The following is a 20175-nucleotide window of genomic DNA, read 5'->3' on the forward strand; positions in this document are numbered from 1 at the left end:
CTGGCACCCTGTTGTTGTCTCCTTTTTTTCTTTCTAACAAAAGCCCATGGTCAGTCTCTCCAGTTCATGACTCTTTTTCAACCCCAGCCTCCCTTTCTCCGTTTGTGTACATGCCCTATTTTTCTTTTCCTGGTAGACAACCCTGCACTTTTCCTTCTCTGAGCAGCAACAGTGAAAGGGAAGGGAGGTGGAGGGAGAGTAAGCCACATGGGCAACCTGCAACCTGGGTCTCCAGCCTCTTGCAGTCTTGGTCCTCACCGTGGCATAGTATAGTACCAGTAGAGGCACTGCAGGGACAGATGAACTCCATAGCAAGGCATTGCAAGAGGCCTTTGGAGAAATTCCTTTGCAATTTGAGCAAAGCCCACTCCTTGGCTTAGCAAATCTTTTTACTTTTTGGTCTGCTAGAATTTACTGCATGCGTAGTTATCCAGAAGGTACGTCTCTGTCCCATTCGGCTTTATTAGACGCCATCTGGAAAGGGGCTGGGAGTGGTCAGCCTCAGGGAGGGGAGCCAACTGACCGTGAAAGGAGGGAGATGAGAGCGAAGTAAGCATAGTGCTCGCTCCCCAAGGATTGAAACTGCCTGCCCCGAGCTGAAGACTTACAAAGACGTAGTCCAGATTCCCAGAGAAAATGAGGCTTTATACCCATAACAAGTTGTAATTTGAGTCACCGGGGAAGTTAAGAAAGTGAAAACATGAGCAAATGCCAGTGTGATGGAATCAGAGTCTCCATGCTGGAAGAGACTTCAGAGGGATCTGCTTGAGCTCCCTGGCTTTATAGACAGGAAGACCGGCCCCCTCAGATGCACACAGCCAGGTACTGCACGGCCGGGCCAGAGGCTTTTCTGATGCCTGCCTCCCTCTCCCGGCAACGGAACCTCATCACCTAGTTCTGATAGGAAAAAAAAAAAATGAGGTGATCAGAAAACAACTTCCTCAACTTTCTCAGTCTCCACCAGCAACTAAAATTGTTCCTGTATCCCCCTCACCTTATCCACTTAGCACCCCTACACCCAAGGGCAGCTAGGACCCGCTGCTGTCTCTCCATGACCTCCCTCCCTCTGTAGCCTTAGGTAGGCCCCTGGCAGCTTTTGCCTGGAAATTTGCAACAGTCTCTTGACGGGTCCCCCTGCCTCCCTCCATTCTTAGTTCACCTGTCACTCTGTGGCTGCCTCACCCATCTAAGAAGCAAACCTGGTAAAATTGCTTCTGTTTAAAAGTCTTGAAATCCTGCAATGGCCTCAGTGGCCCCTAGGATAACTATAAACTCCTTAACATGGGCTACAAATAGGTGGTTTTCACCCCTGGGTGTATATTAGAATCACCTGGGATCTTTTTAAAATTACCCGTGCCTGGGTCTCACCCGTAGTGACTCCATAGAGTGGGCCTGGGTGGGGCCAGTGGTGTCCTACAGCTGGAACCAGCCCCAGCGACTCAGGAGAGGCCATCGCTTCCAGGAATCTTATGAGTGGGTTGTTAAATGACCATTATTAAAAATTATACAAACTTGTAAGTAAGTACATTATGTTAAAAACAAAGGTAATACATACTCAAAAGTCAGGTTTGCCTGATGCCTTTACTACCTTTCGAGGTAATTTCTATTGATTGTATCTGCTGGGTGGAAATACTATATAATGGTGTGCTACTACACATCTCCTCCCAACTCTGCAGTCAGTGACATCCCATTGGTAGCTTGAAATTGACCATGGCATGAGTATTTACATCATAGAAATTGGCAAATGCTACAAATCAGCCCCTGCCCCCCAACAAGTCATTAAACACTGATATCACTGGCTGCGGCTCAGGTATTTACATGATTTTTTTAAAGCTCCTCCGGTTGATTCTGATGAGCAGCAGAGTTGAGAAGCACCAGCCAGGATCTGACTCTTTCTGCCTCTTGAGCAAGCCTCATCTCTTAGAAAAACTCTCCTCTTCCCCCCAACTTTCTTCAGTCCTGCCACACACAACCAACTGCAGTGGCCCAAACACGAGTGCCATGTTATTTCTCATTCTGTGTTTTTACTCCTAGACACACTGATTCTTCTGCCTGGAATGCCTGTCACTTCCTTGTCTGCCTGGCAAGCACCTGTTCATCTTCCAAAACTCAGCTCAGTACTTTGTCCTGTGTGAGCTCTTCCTATACCTCCTCCCCACACAGGTTCACCACTCTGCCTCTGTGACCTGTATGTCTTCTCATTAAAGGGCTTTTAGAATTTTATGGTGCTTTCTGATTATGTGTCTCTATCTCCACCCCCATTAGACACTAAGCACCCGAGGGCAAGGGCGTGCCCTGTTTCTCTGCATCCCAGCAGGGAGTGCAGCACCAGCATAGTAGATGCTCAGTCCGTGTTTACTGGATGGATAAATGAGCTAAACCAGGTTTCCTGACTCCTGGGGCAGCCTTCTTGCCACCCCAGTCCTCCACCTGACCCAGCCTTTCTAAAGGCAGGAAGAGTAAATTACTGCCATTCCTGTGATGGACCACATTCTGAGCTTGCTGCTGCTAGACGTGGTGTGAAGATGGTTCTCACAGCTCTTTTAACAATAAGACTTTTTAAACTGACTTTAGTTATTCCAGGTTTAGAATTCTGTCCATTCATTATTCATTCAATAACATGCCAACATTATTCCAGGCCTAGAGATGCAGTGGTGTGCAAGGCAGGGGAGGGCACTTTCTTCAGAGCACTTTCAGTTAGGAGGTGACTCAGATGATTAAAGAAGCAATGACTGGCCGGGTGCAGTGGCTCATGCCTGTAATCTCAGCACTTTAGGAGGCCAAGGTGGGTGCATCATTTGAGGTCAGGAGTTCGAGACCAGCCTGGCCAACTTGCTGAAATCTCGGCTCTACTGAAAATACAAAAATTAGTCAGGCGTGGTGGCAGGCGCCTGTAATCCCAGCCATCCAGGAGGCTGACACAGGAGAATCGCTTGAAACCGGGAGGCAGGGGTTGCAGTGAGCCGAGATTGCACCACGGCACTCCAGCCTGGGCGACAGATCAAGACTCCATCTCAAAAAGAAAGAAAGAAAGAAAGAAAGCAATGACTAATAAGTGAACTAAGAGCGAAAGAAAGAAAGAAAGAAAGAAAGCAATGACTAATAATGAACTAAGAGCTATAGCATAGAAAATGCTAGGTTCCATCCAGGGTTAGCTCCTAGTCTGTGGGGTTTCATGAAGGCTCCCCAGAGTAGGTGGAGCCAAGGGCTGACACCTGAGGCAAAGAGGAAGGTGGAAAGCTGTTCCCTGCAACTGGAAGATCCTGTGAAAGGGCTCCAGGGCCAGAGAGAGCTCAGCAGCTGCAAGGAACAGAAAGAAGTTGCCACAAAGCCTGTGAGGAGTGACAGCAGAGGGGCGAGGGCAGGAGGGGCTTTGGAAGCCATTTTCAGGAGTCTGGATTCTATCCTAGGAGCAGTGAAACCCCACTGAGGCATAAAACCAGGGAGCCCCCTTACCAGATCTGTACTAAGAGAACTTGCCCAGATCAGTGGCCCAGGAGAGATGAAACTAGAGAGCAGGAGACCAAGCCTTGAGTAGGGAAGAGGCTGCTGCAATGGATAGAAGGGAGGGGTTTCAGAAGCAGAATCATGTCTCACTTATATGTGGAATCTAAAGAAATGAAACTCATAGAAGCAGAGAGTAGAAAGGTAGTTGCCAGGGGCTGGGGGGCTGGGGAAAATGGATTTGGGTCAAAGTATACAGAGTTTCTGTTGTAAAATGAGTAAGTTCTAGAAAACAAATGTGCAGCATGGTAACTATAATTAATAAAAATATACACTTGAAATTTGCTCAGGAAGTAGGTCTTATGTGTTCCCACCACATACACACACAATTTGCTATGTGTGGTGGGCACATGTAAGACTATGGTGACTATGAGGTGATGGATTAGTTGATCACCTTGGTTGTGGTAAGCACTTCATAGTGTATACCAATGTCAATCTTACATCTCAATAATATGCAGTTGTTATTTGTCAATTATACCTTAATAAAGCTGGGGAAAAATAAGAGCAGAATCATGGAACATCATGACTGGATTTGATGATGGAGGTGAGGGAAGTATGAAGAATCTGAGAGAGGTAGGGAGAGCTGATCAGTTCATGGTTCATGTTGGGTTTGTGGAGTTTGCAGTGCCTATGACGTATCCAAGTGTAGTTGATCAGTTCATGGTCCATGTTGGGTTTGTGGAGTTGGCAGTGTCTGTGACATGTCTAAGTGCAGTTGATCAGTTCGTGGTTCATCTTTGGGTTTGTGGAGTTGACAGTGCCTATGACATATCCAAGTGCAGTTGACCAGTTCATGGTTCATCTTTGGGCTTGTGGAGTTGGCAGTGTCTGTGGCACATCCAAGTGCAGTTGATCAGTTCATGGTCCATGTTGGGTTTGTGGAGTTGGCAGTGTCTATGACATATCCGAGTGCAGTTGTCTAGGAGTCACTTAGAAATTCAGTTCTGGAAATTTGAGGAGAGATGTGGGAGAGAAATGTAGATTGGGGTCATCAGTGTATGATAACTGAAACTATAGGAGCAAGGGTCATTCATTGTCTAGGAAGAATGACTAGGGTAGGAGGAGAATAGGACATCACATTTAATCAATGACCAGCGTAGACAGAGCTAGTAGCAGCAATGAGATGAGTGACTAGAGAGGTAGAGAGAAAACCAGGAAAGTGTGGAGTCATGGAAGCTAAGGAAGATGGTGTTGGGAATAGAGGTGGTGAACAGAGTCCCCTGTTCTTGCTGATAGGAGAGGTCAAATGAGATAAGGACAGAGGCGTGGCCTTTGGATTCCGAGATGTGTTGATCACCGGTGCACTTGGCAAGCATGCCAGAGGAGTGCTGAGGCAGAGGTCAGAGCACACTGTGCCAAGCAGTGGGAGGCAAGTGATGGAGACAAGCGTCTGAACTCTAGGACACTGTGCTGGGAAGGAGAGGGGTGAAAGAGGACAGTTTTGGGATCAAGGGATATCTTCTATTTTTGTTGTCATTTGTTTTGAAGTAGGAGAGGCAAGCTGGCTAAACTTTAAGTAAAAGGGAAGATTGTGATCCTGTCCTCTGTGAGTGAAAGAGAGCATCCTTTTAATGTGATCAGTGCCAGATGTCATCTTACAAGCCCTGTGTCTAACCTGATAGGCATTTAGAGTGGCCAAGGCTTCCTGGACTGGCCTCATTTCATTGATGACTGCTTTTGCAGAGACTCCATTGCCTCCTAATTGTCTACACTTGGGGCCTCCATTTTTCTCTTCCTTGGCAGAATTTTAGAAGAAGCCTCCTGTCACCAGCCTTTCGGAGTCCCCACTGATACTGGTGTGTGTGCTCCTGCTGTGGTGCTGCCCACCCACCCTCGTTCTTCCAACCCTCCGGCACCGAATCCCTCCTTTCACTCCCTCTGTCCCCTGGGCAAGTTCCAGCTGGTTACAGTGAATTCCCGTATTTCCCTCCTCTCTTACTTCTCATTTGTCAGAGTGCACAGGAGGCTGCCTGGAATGCCCTCTACTCCCAGGCTGAGGAAATTAAAGTAGCTAAATTTTTATTATAGCATCTCTCAAGAATATTTCTAGAAATCATAGAGTCGTTGCACCTTACTACTGAATAGAAGTTGAGGGGTTATTTGACCCATTCCCTTTAATTCTAGGCAGCTTGATTTCCAAACTCTTTGTAGGTACGTCTTCTTTAAGATTTCTATATAAAAGGTCCCCCAAGCCCAGCCCTTATGACTAGGGCGACCATGTAATTTTGCATTCAAACAGAGATGCCAAAGGGGGCCCTGACCAAACAGGACTTGGGAACCCAGGTATGATCTTTGGGAACACCAGAACAACAACCAGTGTAAATGAGGACTGTCCTGGGCTAGCCAGGACATGCAGTCATCCTGCCTGTGATGAGTAATGGGGGACAGAACCCGAGAGACTCTTTTTTGGCTAGTGCTTAACATTACGGGACAGTCACTGAGCATTTACTATGGATTAGGCATTGTTCCAGACACTAGAACCGACAACAAGATATAATCCTTGCCTTAAAAAACTGTTGGGGAAGAAAGACACAAATAAAATTTGCCATAATTCTGTGTGATAAGTTTTGATTTCAGTTTTGGTAAGTAATAGCTTTATGGACGAAGTGCTTTGGGAAAAAAGCAGAAGAGGGATGAGTTTGGAGGGGTTCGAGAATCAGAGGAGGTGACAGGAGAGCTGGGCTTTGAAGATGATCAGGATTTCTTGGGGAATAGGGCTGCAGGAGAGGGAATGTGTGCCAAGAGTGTGGAACGAAGGCACGGTGGGTAAAAGAGAGAGCAAGAGCTAAAGCTGAGAACTGGACAGGGCCCTGACAGGACCCATTCACCTTCTGGAGGCATCATTCATTCTGTGCATTTGTGATCTCTTTTTGCGTGAGTGCAAGGTCTGAAGTGGCCTGTGGCATGCTGGAGCTTAGTAGACACATCTGGTGAAGGTGTGGAGAAGGCCAGAGTAGGAAACCACTAGAAGTGGAGAGGTCACCTCAGAGACTCTCCACACAGCAGTGGTGGTGTGTTGCTTCTGAACCAAGGCAGGGTCAGAGAGGACAGAGGAAGAGGCAACCCTAAGAGAGCATTTGGCAGCTGAGACGATAGGACGCAGTGACTGACGTGGAAGGTGAGGAACGCAAAAATGCCAAGATCACACAAGCCTGCTTCAGAAGACCAAGAAGATGGGGTTTCCCTTCATTGAGACAGGGAGCAGGAGAGCAGCTAAGTCTGACGTCACCAAAGGCCATTTGGGGCATGTTTGGGTGTTTGTGGTGCATCCACACGGACACGTCCATTAGGAGTTTGTATCTATGGGTCTGGGGCTCGAGGGACAGATTCATGTCAGAAATACTGACTCCTCGGTGCACTGATAGAAGATGTGATTGTAGATGAGATGACTCAGAGAGCAAGTGTGGAGCGAGAGGACTTGGGAACCCAGGGTTGATTTTTGGGCAACGTCTAACCCCAAAGAAAGGGCAACCACGAAAGGCTGTTCAGAAGCAGCAGTCAGCAGGGTGGGAGGGAACCAAGAACAGGACTGTCAGGGAAGCCCGGAAGGAAGCAGGGTCAAGCTGGGAATGCTGGATGAGCAGTTTTCTTGAAGTTACGGGCAGGAGCCATGACAGTGGGCGGGAGGCAGAGAGGAGGAAACAAGGTGTAGCCTACTCCTTCTGAGTGCTTGAAGTGGGGCAAAGACAAGGTGTGAAGATGGAGGGTGAGCTGGGGTTTAATTGAAAGTATTTCTTTTCAGGTTAATGGAGTTTTAAGGAAGTCCCTTTTTACAGTGACTTCTGAAAGAACACCCACTCTGTTTGCCCTCTAGACCTGGGCTATCGAATCCACTAGCCACTAACCAAGTGTGGCTATTTAAATTTAAATTAATTAAAATAAATAAAATGTAAAGTTCAGTTCCTCAGTGGCACTGGCTGTGTATCAGGTGCTCAGCTGCCACGTGGCTGGTGGCCACCATGCTGCACAGCACCGGCACAGAGCGTTCCCGTGTTTGCCAGGAGTTCCGCTGGACAGCCTTGTTTTAAACTCTGCGTTTCACCATCTTCCTAATTCTGCCTTTTGGAACTTAGTAGAGTATATAAGCCCAATCTGCTTATCTAGTTTCCAAACCTAGTTCTGAGGTGAAGAAAACCAGATGGTATTTTTATCATATAAGCTGAAGAATTCTTACAATTTTCAAGTCAGCATTTTTTCCAGGCATTGACCGATAATAAATTGCTCCATGTTGTTAAACATAAGAGAGAGAAATGTAAACGTGAGAATTATTTCTACTGAGCCATCTATTTAGTCTTTCCACTGCTACCATCATAACCACTTCCATCTGATCATTAGCTTTTGTGCATCTACAGTAACTTCATTTTTCTATTTTTTTGAAAGTTATGAGCTCGTTAGGGAAATTTAGCACCATAGCCCCTTCCTTCCAGGAAGCTGCAGAGGCCCTGCTATAGCTTTCACCTGTCTGGGCACCTAAGCAGACCTTGTCAGCTGCTGGGAAGAAAAAGCATCTGATTTGCCAGCCCCTCGCATGCATCCATCAGCCGGGGGTGGGTTTCTGAGAAACCGTTGTGTCTGGGCCCAAGCTCAAAGCACACTTTTCATTCCTCCCTGAGCTATTTTCCTTATTATTCTTTAGAGGGGATTTGTCATGGGGTGATTTGGTGTCTCCAAGATACCTGGGTTTAAAAAGGTCCTTTGCATTATTCTGCATACAGCGGGACCTGAACTTGGGCTGGAGGAATGTTGCTGATGCCCAGGTGGGAGGCAGAGGATTGTACCTGAGAACTTTTCCTGTGGCCTTTACCTGGGGGAGGAGAGCATGTTGGCAGAATGTTCTCAGGGCTGGCCCCATCGCACATGGATGTGTTCATGGATGAGTTCAGCAGAAGTATGGCAGCTAGGGAGCTTTTCTTTATGTCCATCTGGGCTTTGCTATTTGGCTGAAATTCCTGGACCAATCCTTGTGTCCGTAAGAACCCTGTGTCCTTACCTTGTGTAGACTGTTGACTACTGTTAACCCTCTAGTATTAGCACAGCAAAGTACTGTCGTGCACTTCAAGCCCCTGTACAAACACATGCCCCTCAGCCAGACCTCACCCTGGGAGCTGCTCCGGAGTCAACAGCCCTTGAAAGTGCACTGTCCTGCCTCGTAGCTGGAAGCTAAGGCTGCAGCTTCATCTCCCATGGAAACCTGGGCTCACTAGGAGGGGCAAGGCCTCCAGACCACTGTCTTACCATAGAAGCCGCCTAGCAAACTGCAAACCAAGCAGAAAATGCAGGCTGGGCTGAGGAGGCCTCTAACTGATCACCAGCCAAGCAGAGAAGGGGTGAGTGGCATGTGAATGACTGCTAGCTCTAGGCCTGGACCATGGATTCAAACCCTGCTGGCTGGCCCTCCACCATCTCCTGCTCCAGTGAAGACTGTGGCATCCATTAGTGAGGCTAGAGTACACGCTTCTGACTGTGGAATCCTTCTCATTTTCTGGCTCTGCCATCCACTAGCTGTGTAACTTTGGGCAAGTGTGGCCTGACAGCCGAAAGCTTACCCCCACTCCTTGCTAGCTATATAGCTGAGGGCAAGCCATAGAACTTCTCCGAGCCTCTGTTTCTAGTCTGCAAAAGAGGATAAAAATACTTACTGTGCAGGTTGTTGCAGAGATGAAATGATGTTTATCAAATGCCTAACACAAAGGTTCTGTAGATGCTGCTTCTCTATTCTCTCTGGTTTAAATCCTTGGCAGGTACTCGTTTTCTTACTAAGAAGGTTATAAGATCAAAATTTCTTATTTTAGGGAAGTAAAACTCAGGAAAGGGTTTACATCTCTGAATTAGGCTGAAAAGGGACACTGGGGATTGGTCGTGGAGGCTCACTCCTGTAATTCCAGCACTTTGGGAGGCTAAGGTGGGAGGATCATGGGAGGCTAGGAGTTCAAGACCAGCCCGGGCAACATAGCCAGATCCCATCTCTACATGTCTACAAAAATTAATATAAAAATTACCTGTGTCATGGGCCTGTAGTCCCAGCTACAGGCTAAAGCAGGAGGATCTCTTGAGCCTAGGAGGTCGAGGCTGCAGTGAGCTATGATTGTGCCACTGCACTGCAGCCTGGGCAACAGAGCAAGACCCTGTCTCTAAACAAAAAAAAAAAAAAAAGGAAAAGGAGGGACACTGGAGAAGAAGCTCCACAATTTTCCAAGGTGCCAGGGTGAACCAGCACGGGCCAGGCGGAGGCCTGTCGTCTGCACTCCCACATGGCCCTCCTCCTACTCCTGATGTGGCTTCTCTCTGGTATGGACGCAGGAGCTGGTCCCTGGCCCACAGGAGAAACTTGGACACAGCCATGATAAACGCAGGCTTTATAATCCAAGAGCTTGAAAAGATAAGAGTGACTAATAAATAAAAATTTCTCCATTTCTTCATGCTTGATTTTCAAGGGAAGATGTAGAATAAATTTGAGCCACCTTCCCCTGCAAGTATACCTTTAAATATTAAATATTTTACTTAATTATAAAATCCCCTGCTGTCTGGAGAGAATGGCCACCTTCTCTCCTTAGTGGAAACGATGTCATCGCATTTACTGAGTTTGTGAATGTAAAGTGTTTTCAGACTGTAAAACCCTGGATGGGGTTCTGGAAGGCCTCCTCTCTGGGCCCATCCAAAGGGGTCTTCAGAAGTGCATTGGTGACAAGAATGGCATCAAGTAGGAAGGGCCCCAGGTGTAGAGGGATGGGCAGTGGACACCTCTGTCAGGAAGAGTCTTCCTTATCCAGGGCTATCAGGATCAGGAGCTAGAGCCCACGTTTGGAGAAAACACAAGAAGTAGTACCAACCCAGTGAGTCTCGGGTAAGAAATTGGAGTGGTTTGGTTTCCCATCTCTAACTTGGCCAGATGTACCATAAGCTGTATCTGCAAAGCCAGTGTAAGGCTAGACTTAAGTTCAATTAGGATCCAAATTCTTCACTGTCAACTTGTCTAAGTTTTTGTTTATTTCACTTAGTTTCCTAGTGAAATTTTCATTTGAAAATTCCCAGCCTTATTTATTTATTTATTTACTTATTTTAATAGAGACAGGATCTCACTCTGTTGCCCAGGCTGGAGTGTAGTAGCACAGTCATAGCTCACTGCAGCCTCGACCTCCCAGGCTCAAATGATTTCCTGCCTCAGCCTCCAGAGTAGCTGGGACTACAGGCAGGAAGCACTGTGCCTGCACTCCAGCCTTCTTTTCTTTTCTCTAGCTTTTTTTTTTTTTTTTTTTAAATATTTGAGACAGAGTCTTGCTTTGTTGCCCAGGCTGAAGTGCAATGACATGATCTCAGCTCATTGCAACCTCCGCCTTCTTGGTTGAAGAGATTCCCCTGCCTCAGCCTCCCAAGTAGCTGGAAACACAGGTGTGCACCACCATGCTCAGCTAATTCTTGTATTTTTAGTAAAGATGGGGTTTTGCCATGTTGACCAGGCTGGTCTCGAACTCCTGGCCTCATGTGATCCATCCACCTTGGCCTCTCAAAGTGACCAGCCTTATTTTAACTGAATAAAGGGAAAGGGGCTTTTTTTTTCATGACCCTGAAGACAGAGGGACTCAGTGCGCCCCCAGTGGCCAGAGGCTGTAGTTACAGGGAAAGCAAGTCGGGTCCCTCTGAGCCTCTGGAAGAGCCAAGTGGCTGGCTGCTGGAACCATCCAGGAGAAACCAGATTTTCCAGGCTAGAGCTGTTTCCTTTTTCCAGTCTGAGGCTTCCCATGTATTCCTTTCAACGCAGCACCTCTATGTGCATCCCTGAACCCTATGATCTGAGAAAAGGTAGCCGAACCCCCGACTTTCTCTTTTGCATTGACATTAGCACAGATCTGAGCCACATGAGTAGTTGCTCATACCATTATCTGCCTTTGGTTGAGAAATTAGAAGGTGCTAGGCACAAACACACGTCATCTTATTTAATCTTTACAAGCCAGGATCCGGTACTAGGGTCCCCAGTGTTCAGAGGGATTAATTTGTCAAGATCTCACAGTGAGTAGATTCCAGTCTACCTCACTGGAGCCTGGTGCCCGTCCCCATGGTCTGCACTCCTGGTGTTGAACCTCAGCAGGGGCTGTCCCTGGCCTGCTGAAACAGTTCAGCTGACCAGGAAGTGTGTGTGCGTGGTGTCTTTTGTACAGTCTCAGCCCCTGGGTCTGACACTCTGATGGTCTTTTAGGGTGCTGGGTTATTTCCTGGGGTTCTATCTGTGCCAAGTTGTGTATCTTTCAGTGACACACATCTGTTCAAGCCTTCTGAGTTGGGGAGCAACAGAAAGAGGTGAAGAGAGAAAGCACTCTGGGAAACATGGAAATATTTTTGCAGCCTGATTGTCTCTGCATGCAACACTAGCAAAGCTGTTTCTGCTCCCTTTCGGTGTCCGAGTCAAGGGGACGAAGAGGCCTGCCCAAGAAGAAGAGGGATGATTTTTCTCTTTCTGTGGTTGGGGGCAGAAAGGCGATCCGGCTGCCCAAGTGGTTCAGGTCAGGCTTAACTCGGTCTGTGGCCTCTGGCCTGGGGAATGTGCTGAGCTTTGATTCAGCTAAGCAGTGGCTTGTTGCCCAGGCCTGTGGTCCTCCAAAACACCAGCTGAGGATCCCAAAACTTAGGGCCCTTGTGAACAGGGTGAGTTGTTGTCACCAGGACTTGCCTTGTCACCACCTATTACATTTTCTGGGGACCCAGCAGCCCCTGGCCTATGGCCACACAGCAGGCGCCTCTTGGCCAAGAGCTCTGGCATGAAGCTAGGCCTCTCCAACTATTTAATGTTTCATTAGCGGTTTTCTAAAGGCATGGGGCCAAGCCTGGCCGAGCCACACCATTCAGAAGTACGTGAACACTTCATAAAACCAAACTGTTGAAGGATCCCAAACCCAGGAATCTGGTCACTTGGAGTCCAGGCTGGAGGCCCAGGGCAGGCTGCTGCACTGTCTCAGCTCTTTCTTGGTCTGGATACTTCTGGGCCACACATCTGTCTCTCAAACTGTTTAGCCTGTTAGTAGTTCTAAACTAACTTCTAAATAGTTTATATTTGGGGTTCACCAACCTGTTTTCATATCTGATGAAAGCTTTGGACTTGCCCCAGAAAGAGACATCCATGCACATATGTACAACATTGTGCTTAGAATTGCAAGGTATTCACAAGCCACACTCTAAAGATCATCAGTGGATCCAAGTGGAGAACCCCTGTGCTAAACCACACTTGCTTCCACACTTAAACTCTGGGGACTGTGGAGTGTTATCCATCAAGAAGAGTAAACAGGTATTGGGTTTTGTTTTGTTTGGCTTTTTGCTTGTGTCTTGGATTTTGAATCGAAGTCCTTGAGTGGTAGAATGGGGGCTAGATCATTAGAATCACTCCAGACTTCACAGGTAAGAGTGGGAGCTCAGTTGAGTGACAGGCCCATCCCAGACACAAAGTCACTCCAGGGCAATTATTCAGAGCCCCCAGGAGCTTTCACGCTCTAGGAGCAAGTCAGGTAAGCAGCAGCAACACACGTGCCGCGGAGGCGGCACCTACATTCAGACTCTCATTGCTCTTGATTGACTGGGTGGCCCTGGACCAGTCCAGAGTCCACGGCTCTGGAAATGGTAATCAGGCTTGTGGTTGCAGGGGAATTTATGTGTACCAAGTGACTGGCACAAAACAGAGGCCCAATACACTCAATGCTGGCAGATGATAGACACAGTGGAGCAGCAAAGCTGGTGAGGATGGAAACACCCCATCACCTGTGAGTGGGATTAGAGCGTCTGCAGAGGGCATCCTGCTGGCTTCCCAAGCCATGAGCCTTCTGATAAATCTTACTGCTCTGTCAGAGCCTCTGATTTAGGGGTAGGGAGGGGCAGTCAGGAGAAAGCATAGTTAGCTCTCGGGCAGCTAGCTGTGGCAGACAGCGTGCTTTGTCCCTCAGATGAGTCACAACAAGCGCCCTTGGCAGGCAGGAAGGACTTTGAAGTGTGGTGCCCCAAAGGGCTGGTCCAGGAGGCCCCTGCCTAGCCCCTGGGCCTGTCACTCCTGAATCTCCATCACTGGCCCGAGGGCAGGCCCAGGCTTGAAATAAACTCAGGCCAAGCTGGAGGCGCAATTAGAAGGAAGAGAGCCATTTGGCTTTTTCCAAAAGGTAAGAAGGAGGACTTCTCATTTTTGTGCTTTAAATATCAATGCACTCTTTTGATGCCATTATTTGCATTTTCTGAGTTCCACTGTTCTTGGGCAAAATCCAATAGCCCAGCTCTGAAGGCCTCTTCCACATACGTGCCCCTCCCCTGGAGAATCCCTCACACCTTCTTTGAGCTACCAGGCCAAGAAAATTGTATTGAGCTTTACCTCGTGAAGTTTGCATTTTAAAAGCAAGATGTGTTTTTTCATCTCTAAATATAAAGTTTTCACATTGAATAAGCTTTTCCAAACTATATGCCCTTCATCTGGATACTCTGTGGAAGCAAAGGGCAGCATGGCTGGGTGGTGCTGAGTCGGGCAGAGCTCTGGTCTGTGCATCGGGAGACTGGCCACTCACCAGATGACTTCTGGGAGCCACCATTCCTTATCTGAAAGCTGGACAGCTGGGGGCCTCCATACCTTACATCCTGCCCACCTTCCACAGAGTTGTCATCATTGACTGAGTTATGTCTAGAGAAGCACTTTGAAATGCTTCTCCAGCATTCCAGGTCAGAACAGGGTGGCCTACCCCACCCAAAGCTGCAGAAAGAGAGGGGAGCGTGGGTCCAGGGGAGAGGATGTGTGGGGTCTAAAGATGCCCAAGACAGTTCCTGGTGAGACAGCCCAAAGGAGGCAGCAGGCTAGAAACTTGCAGAGGAACAAGGAAGCTGTGACACCTTCTTACCTGGGGACCTCAGGACAGGAAGAAATCATGAAACATTCTTACTGGGAAAGCCAGAGGAGCTTTCCTAGTATTTTTGTTATTGGTAACAGCTGTGAGGTGCCCCCTCAGTGCCCTGGCAACTGTCATTGTCACAGACCCCAGGAACATGGGGCTTTGGGTACAGTTTGACCCTCTCCCTGAGATGGAAGATCTCCCTTAACACCTCCCCCCGGGGACTTGAGACAGGGGTGGCTCCTTTGCTCGGCTGCTGCACTCTAACCCTTTGTGGGAAGGGGAGCATGCAGGTGAGTGGGTGCAGGAGGCAGGGCAAGTGCTCTTGGGCTTTGGCAGGAATGAACCCCATACCTGCCCACAACAATGTCTAGTGGTTGCCTGTGACCTCTAGAGCCTCAGAGGGTGTGAGTTACAAACAGTGCTCCTTTAGTATTTTCCATCCGTGGATGACTAAATGTTAAACCAGGTCAGTGGAGGATCAGGGCGACAGCCTTTTACCCCCTGTCCTCTTGGTGCCTGGGTTCTTGTCCGGGATCTAGGAAGAATCAGGTCACACAGATGTGAAGGATGGTGAATGCAAAGATTTTATTGAGTGGTGGAAATAGCTCTCAGTAGGATGGGGAGCTTGAAAGGGGATGGAGTGGGAAGATAATCTTCCTCTGGAGTTCAGCCATCCTCAGCCAAATTCCTGTCCAACCATCCCCGGCTGAACTCCTCTCTGACCATAGTCTCTGATGTCCAGCTGCCTCTTCTCCTCTCAATGTTCAGACACCTCTTCTCTTCTCTCCTTCTCTGCCACGCTGCTCTGCTCCTCTGCCAGCGGAGCTTGGGGTTTTCATGGGAGCATGGTGAGCCAAAAGGCAACATTTGGGCAGGAAAACAGGGATGTGAAGTTTTCATTTAGGGCCATGGGTCCAGGCTTGGGGGTGGAACCCTTGCCAGGGACCCCACTCTTTTCTTCCCTGCCTCCTGGCCATATCATCCCCATGGGTTTACTGCATCTTATTAAAGAACTACTCACAATGACCTCAGATCATTAATAACTCAGCATCTGAACTCTGACTTCCTGTCTCCTGCTTTTTGGATATATTAATGCCAATGTGTCTGCCTGTATGCACCAGGGGTTTGATTCCCCCTTGCAAGGTTTTTAGGAGATTTAGACAGTGAGTCTTACAACAGCTGTGCCCAGTTTTTAAAGATCTCGCCTCCTGGAGGTGAAAGCAAGGGGGGTGTATTCCTAAAACTATATCACCAACAGTGTGAAGGGCCTGGTACTTTGCATTATCTCATTTATTCCTCACTACACCACCATGGTGTGGATAATATTAAATCCATTTTACACAGCTAAGAACTGAGGCTCGGGAAAGTTAAATAACATGGATCACTGGTGGACCAGGACTCAACTCCAGCCTGTGGAGCTCTAGAAACCAGGTCATTCCTTCGTGCCCTATTGCCTCTCTCTGAATGCAAAGGCTAAAGCAGAGTGAGGAACTCAGCAATGAGTAATGGCTCATTGTGAAGTGGACTCCAGGTGGTGCCTACGGGGCAGGGGCTTATGTGCCCATAACTGACTCCATCTACCTACCAAGTTCTCATTAGGGTCAAAGCATGCGATCAGAGTCAGAGGCTGGGTTTGAGAACCTGCTCCTTTTACCGAATAATTTCATCCCCATGCTGTACGAGCAAACTTGACTTTGCTGACCTTATCTGTAGCATGAAAACCCACACAGGGCTGCTACGAATACAGAACGAGATAATGCAAATAACGTGCTTAGCATGGCATCTTCTCTGAACACCTCAGGTTGGCTTAGGGTCTCCCATTCTGTGCCCCCACAGCACTCTCTGCCTCCCTTGAAGCATTCTTCCCTCTTATTTATCCATCTGCTTCCAAGCTACCTAATCTCAGGGGCCCCATCTGGCCTGCTCACCACTGAGTGCACGGCCCTGACAGTGCCTGACACCTGGGCAGAGATGTACACCTCTAATGCTGATCTGCTGACTGGTGACCACGGAAGGAGGCACAGCAGCTACAGCTATTGTTACTGCTTCCTTCCTCCCCCAAATATACTTGATGCTTCAGTGGCATCTCCCTCCTGCCCTCCCCATGCCAGGCACCTCCATCCTCATCCTCTGAGCCTTTTCTCCCAAGTCCCCTTCTCCCAAGTCCCCTTCTCCCCACTGCCCTCAGACCCCCTCCCCATCTCGGCCTAGAAGCCCCCCAAGGCTTGGTCCTCCCTTCAGTCTCTCCCAGCTCCTGCCCACAGCCTTCTCAGAATAACTGGATGGCTCTTAGTGACACCTCAGGGTCTGGAAGAGGCCAGAATTATTCTGATACTACTGCATGTATGTTTTTGAGTCTCCAGTCCTTGTTGGTGTGCTGGGCCTCTGTGGCAGGGGTGGGAACCTGTGTCCCCTGCCCCCTGCCCAGGCCCAGTGCCAGGCTGCGCACAGAGGAGGCTTCAGGATGAGTCTGTTGGGCAGCAGCCAGGGTGCCCACAGTTAAGTTTCAAGGGAGGACTTCAGCTGCACCTTTAAAGAAAAAAATTATTATGCTCACATTCATTTCACACCCTTGTGACAAAGGACACATTTCCACGACCTCATCTGATCATCATCAACCAACCTATGAGGTCAGCAGGTAGGACAGGTCTCCCCTTTGAACAGATGGGGAAACTTAGTCACAGAGTATAACATTATAGAGCTAGCAGACAGGAGAGCAACCACAGATCTGGGTGGGGCATCCATGATGGTCAAGAACAAACCCGAGAGCCAGACTGGCTGGTGTGATTCCCAGCTCTTCCACTTATAGCTTTGTTTCCTTGGCAAATTACTTAACCTCCCTATGCCTCAGTTTTCCCTTCTTTAAAATGGACATAATACTTAGTTCATAGGCTCATTATGAGGAATAAGTGAGTTATGATCTTCAAAGCAAGTATTAACTGATTACGTGCCTGGCAGCTAGTAAGCACTGAATGTTGTAAAATAATGCAACCTAGACATGCATATGGAGTTCTTTACACTATGTCCTCTCCTTTTGTACACTTCTGAACACATCCACAATGAGAAGGAAGGGAGTAAAGTGTCACCTATTTTTCTGTTACTTAAGGAAGGCTCTAGATATGGCATGAGCCTCTGACAATGGGATGAGGACCTCATTCTTTAAAACTTTCGTTAAACATGGTGAATTTCCTTTATACATGAACATTGTAGGTTCATGCCTCTTGGCAGAGAAGATGAATACAAGCTGAATTACAGTATCTCAATAAGATGGCAGTGTTTATTGCAAATGCTGCAACATCCTGCTTGAGAAAACTTTGATTTGTAGTCTGGTTCTATGACTCCACCAAAGCTAGACAATTATCCAAGCAGCACCTGACCTTTTTGACTGTTTATCTTATTGGCTGGCAGTGGTCCAGGCCTTTAATATTATGCTTCTCCTCTTGTTCCTGGAGCTTTGAGAAAGATAATGAAATGAGTTGAGCGCCACGTGCAACGTGGCTGGCTAGGAGACTCTGCTGGATAGTGCAATTGGAAGGGACACCTCCGTGTGCTTCCAGGGGCCTGGGCCAGACCTGACTGGGAGCTCTAGAGAACAGAAGCCCACCAGCTGGAAGAGGCAGGCAGGAGGTGGCACTGCAGGCGGTGTGAATGTGAACAGCAAAGGGTTTGCTGTCCCAGGCCTCACTCTGCCACTTGCTGCTGTGTGACCCTAAGCAAAGCCTTTAACCTCTCTGAGTCTCAGTAGTCCTATCTGTGAAATGAGAATTTTAATGCTGGCTCTGACGACTTCACATGTGAAACTGACCTATAAATCTTCAAGTGCACACTGATGTTGTTGTAATCTGGAGATAAGCAGCAATCTACTAGCAATAGCCTTGCATCGCCATTCAGCTTTCATCCTCCGAACCAGACTTGTAGGCCCCCAGTGCCAGTGGGAGCCCTGGTGGTCTGGTCTCACGGTCAACAGGAAGGTCTGCTGTGCCACCGCCACCACCACTAGAACATCGCTCCCTTCAAGGATTTATTCCTTAGGTTATGATTTAAGCCATATCAATTATAATACCTTAGGAATAATAGGTCCATTAATTTTTTTCCTACCTATTTGACCCTCTGCTATGAGCAAGGTTATTTGCTTTGTTTTGCTTTTGTTTTTGGGTAGGGATGCGAGCTGAAAGAGATAGACAGATCATGAGGATCTTCAAGTTAGGGGCATTAGAATAGCACTGTGGGGCAGGGCAGAGGGACTTGTGTGTGTAGGCAGCAGCACACAGATACGGGGCTAGGACGTAGGCCTGGAGTGATGAGGGTCAACCACAGTCTTCCCAACATTTCCTGGAGGTCAACCTGCTTTTAACAGCCTTCATTCTTTTCCAACTAGTGTCTCGCTGCCCTGCCCCAAAATCAAGGTGAAGCAGATACTACTCCAGGCCAAAGACACATCTCCTATGACTGACCTTCTGGTCTTGGCCACACAGCTGACTAGCTGCTTGTGTCATTGGACGAGTGACTTCCCCTCTTGTGTCAAGGTGCGCTGCAGAGGGATGGCGTTGGAGGCAGGAGTGAGCGCGGAGCTGTGAGGACCCAGGGAGGAGGGTTTAGAAGTCAAGGAGGAAGCTGCAGGCACGTGACTCCTGCACTGGCCTCACCTCTCACCAGCTCTGCAAGGCCCGGAGCTGCCATCCCAAGGCTGCTTTTCCTTTCCTTTCTTTTTTTAAAATTCTTTAATTAAACTTTTTTGATTAAGTGACAGCTTTTACCACTCCTGGCAGCTGCTGCGAGACAAGATAATTTATAGATGCATTGACACTATATGATTAGGAAAGTACAGTAAATAACAGATGAGAAGATGACTCGTGCAACCTGCAGGGCCCCTCCTCCATCTCTCCAGTCCAGCCCCCACCATCTCCCAGTGAGCCCCAGGTAGACGTCTGCCACATCACTCAGGGGCTGCGTGGAGCACTCGGTGCCTTTCCCACCACAAGATGACGAAGATGTGGTGTTGACAGACTGCTGGTGTCCGTGGACCACAGCTCTGCTCTGGGGCCCCAGGGACTTTCTCAGAGATGCCTGTTTCCACCTAGAGGAAAGACTTAATGATTCTCACCCTTGAAAGTGTGTACAGAAATCCTCTAGTCAGAATGTCCTTGCTGTGTACCAGGGCACACTGTGGGCTCCGTCCAGCCAGGCAGGGCCTGGACTCAGGATCCCCTAGGCTGGTCACCTCTGGTTGTGGGCGCTTCATCCATTTCCCTGTGGATGCCATAAAAGCACTGTCCCTTTCTCTGTGTGCCACACTATGGAAAAGGTTGAGAATCACCGCTAGTCCACTCCGGGGCCTGTAGCAAGGAGAGTAATTGAAGTGCCCCGGGAAACTCGAGCCGTGTCCTTAGCTCTTCAGCACTGCCGGAGCCCCATGCTCCTCAGGAATGAGCCCCTGGCCTTTTCCTCACAGTAACTAAGAGCGCTCATGGGGGCAGCCTAGCCTGTCTTTCTGGGTGAAGCACATCTCCTCCTGTCCTCTTGTCTACCCTAACATTCCACGTGTTCCTTTCTCAGGGTAAAGGCCACCCTCTTCTTAGGAGCCCCGCACCCAAGCCAGGCATTTTGCATGGGAAGCAGTGCCCTGTGTACTTACAATCAGTATTGTCTAGGCAAGATTAAATCAGTGACATTCAACCGTATACAATCCTGCATGATCAGACGATTTGTTGGAAGGCAGGATTCGAGTTCCTCTCAGAAGCTGGCTTGCTGTGCACGCCTCTCCTAACATGGACTCTCCTCAAGTGCCCAGGCAGAAAGCGGCCAGCTCCCAGCCAGA

At 48.4% G+C, this 20175-nt stretch overlaps 1 protein-coding gene across 55 annotated transcripts in view, besides 1 other annotated feature; it reads left to right on the plus strand.

Annotated features, from left to right (window-relative positions):
• The window catches only part of CACNA1C (calcium voltage-gated channel subunit alpha1 C), a 727171-nt gene that overhangs the window by 413689 nt on the left and 293307 nt on the right, over positions 1–20175 (plus strand). The window lies entirely within an intron of this gene.
• Positions 2799–2908: an enhancer, noted in NCBI's record as "active region_5814". NCBI's record gives its function as "activates an Ori minimal core promoter by ATAC-STARR-seq in GM12878 lymphoblastoid cells {active_cell/tissue: GM12878}" and the evidence as "EXISTENCE:reporter gene assay evidence [ECO:0000049][PMID:35858748]".

The sequence above is a fragment of the Homo sapiens genome, chromosome 12, assembly GCF_000001405.40.
Source record: "Homo sapiens chromosome 12, GRCh38.p14 Primary Assembly".
In the NCBI taxonomy this organism is placed as follows: Eukaryota; Metazoa; Chordata; class Mammalia; order Primates; family Hominidae; genus Homo; species Homo sapiens.